Source organism: Homo sapiens, chromosome 22 (assembly GCF_000001405.40).
Source record: "Homo sapiens chromosome 22, GRCh38.p14 Primary Assembly".
Lineage (NCBI taxonomy): Eukaryota > Metazoa > Chordata > Mammalia > Primates > Hominidae > Homo > Homo sapiens.
Window position 1 is genome coordinate 17,968,384 of NC_000022.11, and position 12,638 is coordinate 17,981,021.

Here is a 12,638-nt window from a genome sequence, read left to right on the forward strand (position 1 = left end):
GGGAGCAGCACAGGAGCCGGGAGCTGCTCTGGGAAGAGCTGAGGCGCCAGAGCTCCACAGTCGCAGACTCAAACCGGAGACCTCACCAGACCCTGGCTCGGGCAAGCTTCCTCAGGCTACATTTCCCCACCACAAAACAAAGATATATTAGTATGTGCCTCTTATGGATGTAATGATTTTGAGGTGAGGTTCAAATAAACAACCAACCTGAAATGCCTGGGAGAGTGTCCAACTGAGAGCCGATACTCAAAGAGTGATATAATAATTACCACAACCACTAATGCCCCAACGAGCCGCTGAAAGAAAGGCCGGTTCCACACTTTAGCTCACCTTCCTCAAACAGATGTGGCCACCAAACAGTTTGACGTAGGATATATGGAAAGCATACTAAAGGAGCTCGAGGGGAGTTAGGCGCTTTTAGATTAGCATGGGGCGACAAACTTCAAACATGCCTTGTGACCAAAAACTATGAATTCAACATTTTAAATAGATTTGTATTTTATTAACTACAAATAAATGGTCTCATGGGTAAATTAACCAATGCAAAAAATGGTCAGTTTTTAAAGACTTTATAAACAAAATTATCCCCCAACACACAAAGTCAAAAATATGTAAAATTCAATGACTTATTAAGAACATTCTTTAACTTTCTCCAGAAGACTTTTTTTTTTCTTTTTGACATGGAGTCTCACTCTGTCACCCAGGCTGGAGTGCAGTAGCAGGATCTCAGCTCACTGCAACCTCCACCTCCCGGGTTCAAGCAATTCTGCCTCAGCCTCCCGAGTAGCTGGGATTACAGGCGTCCGCCACCACACCCAGCTAATTTTCTGTATTTTTAGTAGAGACAGGGTTTCACTATATTGGCCAGGCTGGTCTTGAACTCCTGACCTCGTGATCCACCTGCCTCGGCCTCCCAAAGTGCTGGGATTACAGGCATGAGCCACTGCACCCGGCCAAATGAGGACTCTTGTAGAAATACATGTGCTTTTCTCTAAGGGACGAGAAAGAAATGTAAAATGAGCAGTTTGTCCGCAGATCGTGCTTCTTGGGTTGGTCTGGAGCCGACAGGCGTTGTGGAATGACAGTGTCCATCTGGAGATTAAAATGAGAACTCCTTTGTTCTAGGCAAGACACATGCTTTTTTTTCTCTTCCTTCCTTCTTCCTTCTTCCCTGCCACCTTTATTCCTTTTTTGGTTTATCTTAGAAATGATTTAAGGCAACATGGGCCCTTGATCTGTGAGGAGGTGAGGCAGGACTGTTACTCTGTTCTGTGGAATTCTAGAAACTTATTTTGGGACTTTGGAGGTATTCGCTTTTTCCTAAGCTCTCAGAATCATTTTTGAGAAGCAGCCGATGCTGCTAGCCAGAACAGCTGTGAGAAGCGCAGCGTCTAGGATGGCCTCTTTGCCGACACCCTGGGATGGGTGCATGCTTCCTCATGTTTTAGAGAGAACTGAGGCTCTCAGCTCTCCCTGTGTGCTGGGATGCCGTCTGTGACTTGCCTGAGAAAATACCTATGGAATGAGTGTGAGGGCCTCATGAGGTCACGTCCACGAAAGCACTGGGAGCTCGTCAGAGGAGAAGGGCACTCTGAGGCCACATAGTCGGTAATCAGACTTCCCTTTGGTCCACATCTCTGCCCTGGCTGCCAGGATTCACAGTGTGCAGAGGGACTGGGCCGTTGCTCCAGCCGCTCCAGCAGGTTAGCAGGCTCTGTGCCACTGTCCCCAGAGAAGTCTCCCTGAGTGGGGTCTGTGGGCTCTTCTCTCGGTCCCACCTTCAACACCCACTTTTCTCAGCCTGGTGAGAAGGGAGGACAGATGGCTTCCCCTCCACTGTCCCCCGCCCATGTTGTTGAATGGGATTTGAGAATGGACGCCAGGTTCTAAATCTGCCATTCCGTCTGTCCTTGAGTGAGCGGCTGACCAGCTGCTGGCCCATGCTTAGAGGATGTTCGTGGTCTGCCCCAGGGCCCACTGGTCCTTGAGTGAGCGGCTGACCAGCTGCAGGGCCATGATCAGAGGATCTTCGTGATCTGCCGCAGGGCCCACTGGTTGGAGGCCCCTTTGGGAGTCAGATAACAGAACTCTGCAGTCACGGCTGTGACCGACTCACTATGTGGCAGATGGGCTTCTGTGCTTTTTAGTTCTCACTTCCTGAGAAGTGTCAGGTTTCAGCACTAATATCATGTATACATTTTAAAAAATCCAAAATCAGAAGCAGAATTTAGTAATTCCCCACCACTTCCTATGTTCCCTCCTCTAACACCTGTAATATTCCTGGCACACAGTAGGTGCCTTAAACAGGTCCTTGAATTGGGGTTGGTGAGAAAAGGTGCTAAGTCTGTCTTTCCAAGCCATTTAATTGAGCAGCATTTTTTTTTAATGTGGAAAATTTTTTTATCTGTTACGTCTTTCCTATTATATTTATCTTGTCCTTGATTTCAGCACCCCACCCGATTTGCAGGCAGTGCTTTCTAAACTGTGCCCTGTGAGCTGTTAAAAAGTCTTCTGGAGGCCGGGCATAGTGGCACACACCTGTGATCCCAGCATTTTGGGAGGTCGAAGTGGGCAGATTGCTTGAGCTCAGGAGTTCGAGACCAGCCTGGGAAACACGGCAAAACCCCGCCTCTGCCAAAAAAATTAGCTGGGCACAGTGACATATGCCTGTAAGTCCCAGCTACTCAGGTGGCTGAGGTGGGAAGACCACTTGAGCCCCAGAGGCGGAGGTCGCAGTGAGCTGAGATTGCACCACTGCACTCCAGCTTGGGCAACAGAGCAAGACCCCGTGTCAGAAAAAAAGGGGGGGGCTGGGCGCTCATGCCTTCAATCCCAGCACTTTGGGAGACTGAGGCAGGCAGATCACTTGAGGTCAGGAGTTTGAGACCAGCCTGGCCAACATGGTGAAACCCCATCTCTACTAAAATACAAAAAATTAGCTGGGCATGGTGTTGTGTGTCTGTAATCCCAGCTACTTGGGAGGCTGAGGCCTCCTCAGCCTCAGCAGGAGAATCGCTTGAACCCGGGAGGCGGAGGTTGCAGTGAGCTATCGCACCATTGCACTCCAGCCTGGGCGACAGTGCAAGACTCCATGTCAAAACAAACAAACAAAAAACCTCATCATTCATCTAGCATTGACTGCATTCATCTAGCATTCATCTAGCATTCATCTAGCATACATCTAGCATTCATCTAGCATACACAGGCACCAGACACTGTGTTGGGGCTAAGCACAGAATGTGAACAGAACTCCTATGTCTCCTGTGCCCCAGAGATGGAAGGACAGTGGTGGACACAGCCATCGGTGTAAAAACGTCAATATATAGATACATCCATACTTACACACTGTGAGAAAAAGAACAGCAGAACCTAAGACAGAACATCGGAAGGGGCCCCCTGGCCCTTCAGGTGGTAATGAAGAGGTATCCAGCCCGACCCGGGAGGGAGGATGCCCAGGGAAAGGAGGAGCTTGCTCCAGGGGCAGAAGCAGCACACGTGCACCGGCACAGGCGACAATGCACATGGCCTTCCAGGACCACCGGCCAGTGGGCTCAGGGCTCAGTGAGAGAGGAAGAGGAGGATGGCAAGGCAGGCAGGCCACTCCACACAAGGCCAGGCAAGGCCTCTTAACGAATCTGGATGCAAGGACCTTGCTTTTTCCTACATCTTTCATTGTTCCCAAGCCCAGTGCGCTCCTCAAGGCAAACACTAAGAACACATGCTCAGTTCAGCAAATCAGTTACAAACCAGTGGCTATTTAATAAGCAAGGTACTGTTAAAATCTTGGCCCTCAAATTTTATAATTTGGTTTGTAGAAAAAAGGAACCAGACCATCCCATCTCAAACAAAAAACAAAAAAATCTTGAGACAAGAAAATATATATCCTGAGGCAGTATCTGATTAAACACCAGATGAAATGTTCAAGTCACATGGTCCACTGGAAGGGGAAATAATTCCCAGGTAAGGTGGTGACAACGGGTTTCCCAAAGAGGGTGGGACTCCAAGTAGAAACTGAAATCTGGAGCGAACCAGGCTAAGCTACCTGGGAGGGTGGACCAGGCACACGCAACAGGTGAACGGACGTACGGGAGTAGGGACAGCAAGGCACATCGGGGAGGGGTAAGCACACAGAAAGGTTGAGCCCGCCTACAACACACAACAGCCCATCCCGGGCAGCTCACCCCCATCTTCAGGGCCTTGGAGGCAGAAGGAAGATTCCCACAGGTCAGGGTCCGGGGCTGGTCTCCTGGCAGGCACACTTTGGGGCAGCAGGAGAAGGAAGGTGAGTAAGACTGTCTGCCCCAGGAAAAAGGGCAAGGGCAGAGAGCTATGGATCTCATTCACTGGGATAAAAAATTAAGTGCCAAGGAGGGAGAGGAAAGGGAGGAAAAATAATCCAAATTGTTGTAGTATTGTGCAACTGAAATTCCATGCATAAGCCAGGAAATTCAAAGGTCACAGTTCCCACAGCAACTGTAACCTGACCCGTCAGCTTAAGTAGCCTTTGGCACTGCCAGCCCCCAAGCGCCTGCAGCCCCTACAATGCCCACCCAGACCTGCCCTCAGGCCCCTGCACGTCAGGCATGTTGCGCCTTGCCCAGCCGGGCCCACGTGGGCTGCCCACCTCTGGCTACAAGGGGCCCTCAGCCATGCCCAATAGTTCTCAGTTCTTTAAGGAGCATCCTGTGACTCCGAGCCTACTTGCTGTGGGTCTTTACTTCTGACTCTTCTGTGGGGTGAGTAAGCCTCCTTCACCACCCAGATGGGGGGAAAAGGGAGAAGAGAGGTGTGTGCATGCAGACAGAGGCGCTGCTACCACCCTCTTCACTCATGCCCTGTGGCATCAACACTTGCCAAGCCTCACCATGGGGAAAACAAAGGTGGGGGGAGCCTGGGGAGGGAATGTTGTAGTTCAAAGGACATCAGAAAAGACGGCTTACCAAATGGGAGAAACTTTCTACCAGTCTGAAATCTGATAAGAGACTTACTTCTGTAGGGTATGTAACTGAGCATATGATCCTTCCCAACAGGGCCTGGGACACCGGCTTGATCATCATGAGGCCCAGGACGGAGCCACACATAGGTCATGATAGTGGAAGCAGCACAGGGTGTGAAGCTGATGGCCACAACCGACCCCTTCCAGCCCCACTGTGGAACCGGGGTGGCAGTTCAGAGTTTGGGTGTCTGCTGTGTGCAGAAGGGAGACCAATCAGAGCCAGGCTTAGACGCAGGCAAATCATGGGCCCTTTCGAAAAGACAGGCTGGCCAAGTGCGATGGCTCACACCTGAAATCCCTGCACTTTGGAAGGTCGAGGCAGGAAGATGAGTTGAGCCCGGGAGTTTGACACCAGCCTGGGCAACACGGTGAGACGCCGTCTCTACAAAAAATTAGCCAGGCATGGTGGCACGCACTTGTGGTCCCAGCTACTGGGGAGGCTGAGGTGGGAGGATCATTTGCACCTGGGAGGTCGAGGCTGCAGTAAGCTGTGGTCGCACCACTGCACTCCAGCAACACAGTGAGATGCTGTCTCAAAAGAGATTAAATTTAAAAATGTTTAAGATACATAAATAAAAAACAAGTCCCCTGAGCTCCTCCTCCTATTTATCACAACAGAAAAGACTGAAGACTCACCCAAAAATGGTTTATATCCTGGAAATCATACTTCCCTCTGGGCCATGGTTTATGTGAGCTGCCAAAATTCCAGGCTCAGGGCAAAGAATGACTTTCCTGTTACTCTGGCTCCCAGGGTGAACACAGGTAAGGAAAGTGACGAGGCAGTCAAGAGCAAAGCCCAGCTCCCTAGGGCTTTGTGAGGAAGACCAGCTCCACCACCCTGCTGTCTGCCCTGGGCCTGGCCCTCAACAGTGCTGATAAAACAGGCTTCAGGGGACTGCTGTGAGAAGTAAGTGATGGTATGTACAGCAGAGCCTATGCTGCATGGCCTGGCACACAGAAGTTGCTCAATAAACGGGAATTACTAGTACTGCTGCTATTTCCACATTTCATGTTTTACTCAAACCTGATACATTTATAAGAGCTGTGTGAGGCCAGGTGTGGTGGCTCACGCCTATAATCCCAACACTTTGGGAGGCCAAAGGAGGAGAATTGCTTGAACCTGGGAGGTGGAGGTTGGCGTTCCAGACCAGCCTGGCCAACATGGCAAAACCTTGTCTCTACTAAAAATAAAAAATTAGCTGGGCATGGTGGCACGCACCTGTAATTCCAGCTACTTGGGAGGCTGAGGCAGGAGAATCGCTTGAACCTGGTAGACAGAGGTTGTAGTGAGCCGAGATGGCACCACTGCACTCCAGCCTGGATAACAGAGCAAGACTCCGTCTTAAAAAAAAAAAAAAAAAAAAAAAGCTGTGTGCCACTGAGTCCTGGTTATTTCACAGCACAGTGGTAGCACGTAATATGTGCTTACTGTGTGATGAGCACTACTGTGCATGCTGTTCTCTTGAACTTTACACACTAGAGTTCTTCAGTCCTCACAATAACCTCATGAGGTAGATTCTGTGGATGAAGAAACAGAAATTGAGTCATTTATCAAGGCTGTATGGTTTCTATGTGGTAGAAGACAGAGCTGGGCCCAGGCAGCTGGACTCTGGAGCCCCAGCATGGACCACATCACACCCATCCTCAAAGCATGGAAACATTCCCAGGAATAAAGCAGGCAAAGGCCAGCGTGGCACAGATTCCAAAAACAGCTCAAGACTGACTTCTTTGAAAGAACTGTCAGTCTCAGGTCAGCCTTGTGATCACAAACCCACAAGAAAATGGTTCTAAGTTCTGCAGAAGGGAAAGGCCAGAACAATGCAAGAAGCCGCAGTCAAGCTGCAGTCACCACAATCATCGTGTGATGGGAAGTGGCTCTACTCAGAATGGGAACAGGACCACGCTTCAGTTCAAAATTACACTTGCTAGAAAGTCACCCAAGGATCTTGGTGGCTCACGGCTGACAGTGAATGAAAAGCCCGCAAATTTAAAAAAAAATCTCATACCCTACTTGACTGACTTCCTAACAAATTCCCACAACTTTCTGGTATTTCTGAGAACTTCTTACACTCTGCACTCTTCCTTACCCAGCTTTCCCTTGCCTTCCATATTTTTCCGCTCCCATGCCCCACACCCAGCCCCCCAGCTACAGGACTTATACTCACTTGTTCAGATTATGCACAAAGAAAAAAATTCAACGAATTCATTTACCCCAATTTAGAAATGGAAATACCTGATAAAGAGAGCTAAAAGGGATACAGAACAAACCAGGTATGAAATAGCACATTTTCAAGTCACCCCAAGTGTGTCCCCAAAAAACAGAACCCAGCACTGTCCCAAGAGTGAGTTACACAGACTCTCCTGAACACCCTCCTGGCATATGTCCTCATGTTTGGGACACAGGATTTGCTATTAAAGAGTGCTGCACTTTGGGAGGCTGAGGTGGGCAGATCACGAGGTCAGAAGTTTGAGGCCAGCCTGATCAACATGATGAAACCCCATCTCTACTAAAAATACAAAAATTAGCCGGGCGTGGCAGTACATACCTGTAATCCCACTACTCAGGAGGCTGAGGCAGGAGAATCGCTAGAACCGGGAGGCAGAGGTTGCAGTGAGCCGAGATAACACCATTGCACTCCAGCCTGGGCGACAGAGCCAGACTGGGTCTCAAAAAAAAAAAGAGTGCTACATGGCTCAAAGCCGGAGCAAATAAGACGGCCAACAGAACATCAGTATGTAAGTTAAATGTTTTATTTCTTTCTAATCTTATCTGAACAATATAGGCAGAGATGGACTGCCAAAATATGTTGTGGGGATCAGGGTAGAAGACAGTTTAAGTTTTTCATTCTGGTAACTTGTCCACATAACCCAAATTCATTTCTTGCTGTTAAATTCCGTGTCTTATACTAGAGTAAATAAAGCTGAAAATCTCATTAGATAACACGAGGGAGTTAAGGTTACACTGGGAAACAGCACTGCCCGATTTTCTTGGCTTTTGCTTAAATGTAACCTCAGTACACTTGTATCCAACCTCCAGCTATTCCCAGAAGCCTGGAACCAATCACTGTGTTCAGCAGTCATCAGTTTATGGCTGGTTTTTTATTTTAAATCAGTGGCATGATGAATAAAATATACATGTATATATGTGTATATATATGTGTGTGTGTGTGTGTGTGTGTGTGTATATATATATATATATATATATATATATTTTTTTTTTTTTTTTTTGAGACAGAGTCTCACTCTGTCGCCCAGGCTGGAGTACACTGGCGCGATCTCGGCTCACTACAAGCTTTAAAGAGCTTTTGTGACTTAGTTTCTGCTTTCAAAGGATTTTAAGTTTGCAAAAGCTATAACAGTCACCAAACATAAGTTCTGAGTATTAAAGGTTATGGGACTGTTACAGACTACTTAGTTCTAGAGACTTCTTCTTTTTTTTTTTTTTTAGATGGAGTCTTGCTCTGTCGCCCAGGCTGGAGTGCAGTGGCGTGATCTCGGCTCACTGCAAGCTCCGCCTCCCAGGTTCACGCCATTCTCCTGCCTCAGCCTCCCAAGAAGCTGGGACTACAGGCGCCCGCCACCATGCCCGGCTAATTTTTTGTATTTTTAGTAGAGACGGGGTTTCACCGTGTTAGCCAGGATGATCTCGATCTGACCTTGTGATCCGCCCACCTCCGCCTCCCAAAGTGCTGGGATTACGGCGTGAGCCACCACGCCCGGCAGAGACTTAACTACAATAGAAACATCTGAAAGCACAGAAAACTGATGTGCAAATCCAGGTTTACTCAAGAATCGAGAGTAAATTTGACATCACCAAAATTAAAAACGTGTATGCTTCAAAGCATAAAAGACACCATCCAGAAAGTGAAAACACACCTACAGAATAGGGAAAAATATCTGCAAATCAGGTAACGGATAGGGAACTTGTATCCAGAAGACATAAAGAACTCTTACAACTCAATAATAAAAAGGTAACCCAACTTTTTAAACAGCCAAAGGATTTGGACAGATATTTATCTAAGGAAGACCCAGAAGCACAAGAAAAGAAAGACGCCAATAAGCACATGAAAGGATGCTCAACATCGGCAACCATTAGGGAAATGCAAATCAAACCCTCAAATGAGGTATCACTTCATACCCACTAGGAAGACTATAATAAAAAAAAAAAAAGACAGACAATAACAAGTGTTGACAAGGATGTGGGGAAACTGGAACCCTCCTATGTTGCTGGTGGGAAAGTAAAATAGTGCTGCAACTTTGGAAAAGTTTGACAGCTCCTCAAAAAGTTAAACATAGAGTTACCATATGACCCAGCAATTTCACTCTTAGGTATATACTCAAGAGAAATAAAAATATACACCTGGCCAGGCACAGTGGCTCACACCTGTAATCCCAGCACTTTGGGAGGCCGAGGCAGGAGGATCACCTGAGGTCGGGAGTTTGAGACCAGCCTGACCAACATGGAAAAACCCTGTCTCTATAAAAATACAAAATTAGCCAGGCATGGTGGTGCATGCCTGTAACCCCAGCTACTCGGGAGGCTGAGGCAGGAGAATCACTTGAACCTGGGAGGCGGAGGTTGTGGTGAGCAGAGATCACAGCACTGCACTCCAGCCTGCGCAACAAGAGTGAAACTCTGTCTCATAAAAAATAAATAAATAATAAAATAAAATAAAATAAAAAAATATACACCTACACAAAAACTTGCACATGACTATTCATAGCAATATTCCAAATAGTCAAAAAGTGGAAATAACTCAAATGCCTATCAACTACTGAATGGATAAAGAAAATGTGGTGCATACATAAAATGGAATATTATTCTGCCATGAAAAGGAATGAAATTCTGACACATGCTACAACATGAATGAATCTTGAAAACACCATGCTAAGTGAAAGCAGCCAGTTACAAAAGGGCAAATATTGTATGACTACATTTACATGAAATGTTCAGAATAGCAAATCAGAAAGAAAGTAGATGAGTAGTTGGCCATGGCTCAGGAGAGGGGCTGGAGAAGGTAACAGTAACTCCTATGGGTACAAGGCTTCTTTTGGGGATGATAAAAATGTTCTATAATTGAATGATTGTAGTGATGGTTGCAAAACTCTGCATATAATAAAACCATTGAACTGTACACTTTTTTTTTTTTTTGAGACAGAGTCTCCCTCTGTCACCCAGGCTGAAGTGCAGTGGCACAATCTCAGCTCACTGTTACCTCCGTCTCCCAGGTTCAAACAATTCTCCTACTTCAGGCTCCTGAGTAGAGTAGCTGGGATTACAGGCAGCTACCACCACACCCAGCTAATTTTTGTAGTTTTAGTAGAGACGGGGTTTCACCACGTTGGCTAGGCTGGTCTCAAGCTCCTGACCTCAGGTGATCTGCCCGCCTCGGCCTCCCAAAGTGCTGGGATTACAGGTGTGAGCCACCGTGCCTGGCCTGAGCGGTACACTTAAAATGAATGAATGGTATGTGAATTATATAATAAAGCTGTTTAAAAGAAAAAAAAAAACTGGCTGGGCACAGTGGCTCACGCCTATAAATCCCAGCACTTTGGGAGGCCAAGGCGGGAGGACTGCATGAGCCCAGGAGTTCGAGACCAGCCTGGGAAACATGGCAAAACCCCATCTCTACAAAAAATACAAAACTTAGCTGGGTGTGGTGGTACACTTGTGGTCCCAGCTACTTGGGAGGCTGAGGCAGGAGGATCACTAGAGCCCAGGAGGTTGTGGCTGCAGTAAGCTGTGATCATGCCGCTGCATTCCAGCCTGGGCACAGGAATGAGACCCTGTCTAAAAAAACCCTGAGGGGAGTAACCATGTCTTATGAGTCACCATATTCTCGAAAGGGCCTGCCATATAGTAGGTATAAACATATGTAAACGGCCCAGGTACAGTGGCTCACGCCTGTAATCCCAGCACTTTGGGAGGCCGAGGCGAGCGGATCACCTGAGGTCAGGAGTTCGAGACCAGCCTGGCCAACGTGGCGAAACCCCGTCTCTACTAAAAATACAAAAATTAGCTGGGAGTGGTGCTGGGCGCCTGTAATCCCAGCTACTCGGGAGTGTGAGGCAGGAGAATCACTTGAACCCAGGAGGTGAGGGTTGCAGTGAGCCAAGATCGAGCCACTGTACTCCAGCCTAGACAACAAGGTGAAACTCCATCTCAAAAACAGTATGTAAACGTTGGTAAAAAGAATAGAGATGTTGAGTCTTTTTACCAAAGATTTCATTAGAGGAATTCCCCACGGCATCCAGCGCCTTCTACAACAGTCCCAGCCTAGAGGAAACAGATCCCTCCAGCACCTTCTCCCAGCCCAGCACACCACCAATCAGGCTGATCTCTGTCTAAAGTCTCTTCTCAACTGGAGTGCTGCTATGAGGCTTTACTGGTGGATTTAAAAAAACAAAAAAAAACAAAAAAAAAACCCACAGGTTTTTTTGTTGTTGTTTTTGGTTTTTTATAATTTTTGACACAGGGTCTCACTTTGTCACCTAGGCCGGAGTACAGCACAATCATGGTTCACTACAGCCTTGACCTCCTGGGCTCAAGCAATCCTCCTGGCCTCAGCCTCCTGAGGAGCTGGGACTGTTGGCACATGCCACCACACCTAACTAATATTTTAATTTTGTATAGAAAAGGGGTCTCATTATATTGTCCAGACTGGTCTGGAACTGCTGGGCTCAAGTGATCCTCCCACCTTGGCCTCCCAAAGTGCTAGGATTACAGGGGTGAACCACCGCACCTGGCCCCCAGCAAGTCTTTCTGAAAGTGGGTAATATGAGCTCTTGAGGAACAGGAGGAAGCATGGGATGTAGCCCTCTCTAGCAGTCTGGCTAGAGGCCGAATTAGCATTCGTGAAACAGCAGCAGCTCAGGGCAGGGGAATGGAGATAAACTGGGAAATAAAGACGGAAAGGGCCTTTGGTGGAAGGAGGGATATTCTTCTGGGCTTCCAAAAGGAAATTGCTGCAAACTACTTTCCTGCCTTCCCCATTCCGCAATCAGAATTAACGGCCTCCTCCACAGCATTTTGTTCAAATCCGCCTGCTATCACAGCTGACTGCACACACATCTGGCTCCCTACCATGGAATACCCTCCTAGTGGGCAAGGACAACTTTCAGCTCCTGGAAAACCATCAGCAGAGTCTTGAACACAGGAATTGGACAGTCTGTATTTGCTGAACTTAAGTATTTACTTCACAACAATTACTACTTTAACACCTCTTTTCTGAAGCCTATAAGTATTTGTGGCAACGGAGAAAAGGAGGCAGAATCCTCAGGCTGTCAACATGCCCTTCATGCAACCTACAACGAGCAGCTGTGCACTCCAGCCACACCCACTTTCTCCAGAGTGCCACAGTTTCCGTCTTATCATTCCGCCCGTCTTATCATTCCGCGGCAGCAAACCAGCTGCCCGTCTGCTCCTCTGCCTCAGCCTCGCCCAGATGCGGCTGTGCTGGCCCGTCACCCTCAGTTCCTGCTCAACTGCACCCTCACTTCCGACTAAGTGCCAGGTCCTGCACTTTCGCTGGGCCTGCCCCGGCCCCCACCAGTGCCCTGCACACTTGGAGGTGTCTGTGATCATCTGTCTATTGGTCCCCTCCAGACACTGTGGACTGCAGGAGGGCAGTATTTACTTCAC

The 12,638-nt window shown here is 47.8% G+C and overlaps 1 protein-coding gene and 1 non-coding gene across 2 annotated transcripts in view, besides 3 other annotated features; both read right to left on the reverse strand.

Moving 5' to 3' along the window:
• The window catches only part of MICAL3 (microtubule associated monooxygenase, calponin and LIM domain containing 3), a 236,913-nt gene that overhangs the window by 180,735 nt on the left and 43,540 nt on the right, over positions 1 to 12,638 (reverse strand). The window lies entirely within an intron of this gene.
• Positions 1,460 to 1,754: a silencer, noted in NCBI's record as "tiled region #15525; K562 Repressive non-DNase unmatched - State 14:Gen5'". NCBI's record gives its function as "represses a minimal TATA promoter and a strong SV40 promoter by Sharpr-MPRA in K562 cells {active_cell/tissue: K562}" and the evidence as "EXISTENCE:reporter gene assay evidence [ECO:0000049][PMID:27701403]".
• Positions 5,212 to 5,764: an enhancer, noted in NCBI's record as "H3K4me1 hESC enhancer chr22:18456361-18456913 (GRCh37/hg19 assembly coordinates)". NCBI's record gives its function as "activates a minimal SCP1, AML or CMV promoter by ChIP-STARR-seq in naive H9 embryonic stem cells {active_cell/tissue: H9 hESC(naive)}" and the evidence as "EXISTENCE:reporter gene assay evidence [ECO:0000049][PMID:30033119]".
• Positions 11,056 to 11,434: a silencer, noted in NCBI's record as "fragment chr22:18462205-18462583 (GRCh37/hg19 assembly coordinates)". NCBI's record gives its function as "represses an EF-1alpha promoter that drives an FKBP-Casp9 reporter gene in an ReSE screen in K562 erythroleukemia cells {active_cell/tissue: K562}" and the evidence as "EXISTENCE:reporter gene assay evidence [ECO:0000049][PMID:32094911]".
• MIR648 (microRNA 648) lies at positions 12,485 to 12,578 on the reverse strand. Its single transcript, NR_030378.1, has one exon. It is a non-coding gene; the product is annotated as a microRNA 648 (primary transcript).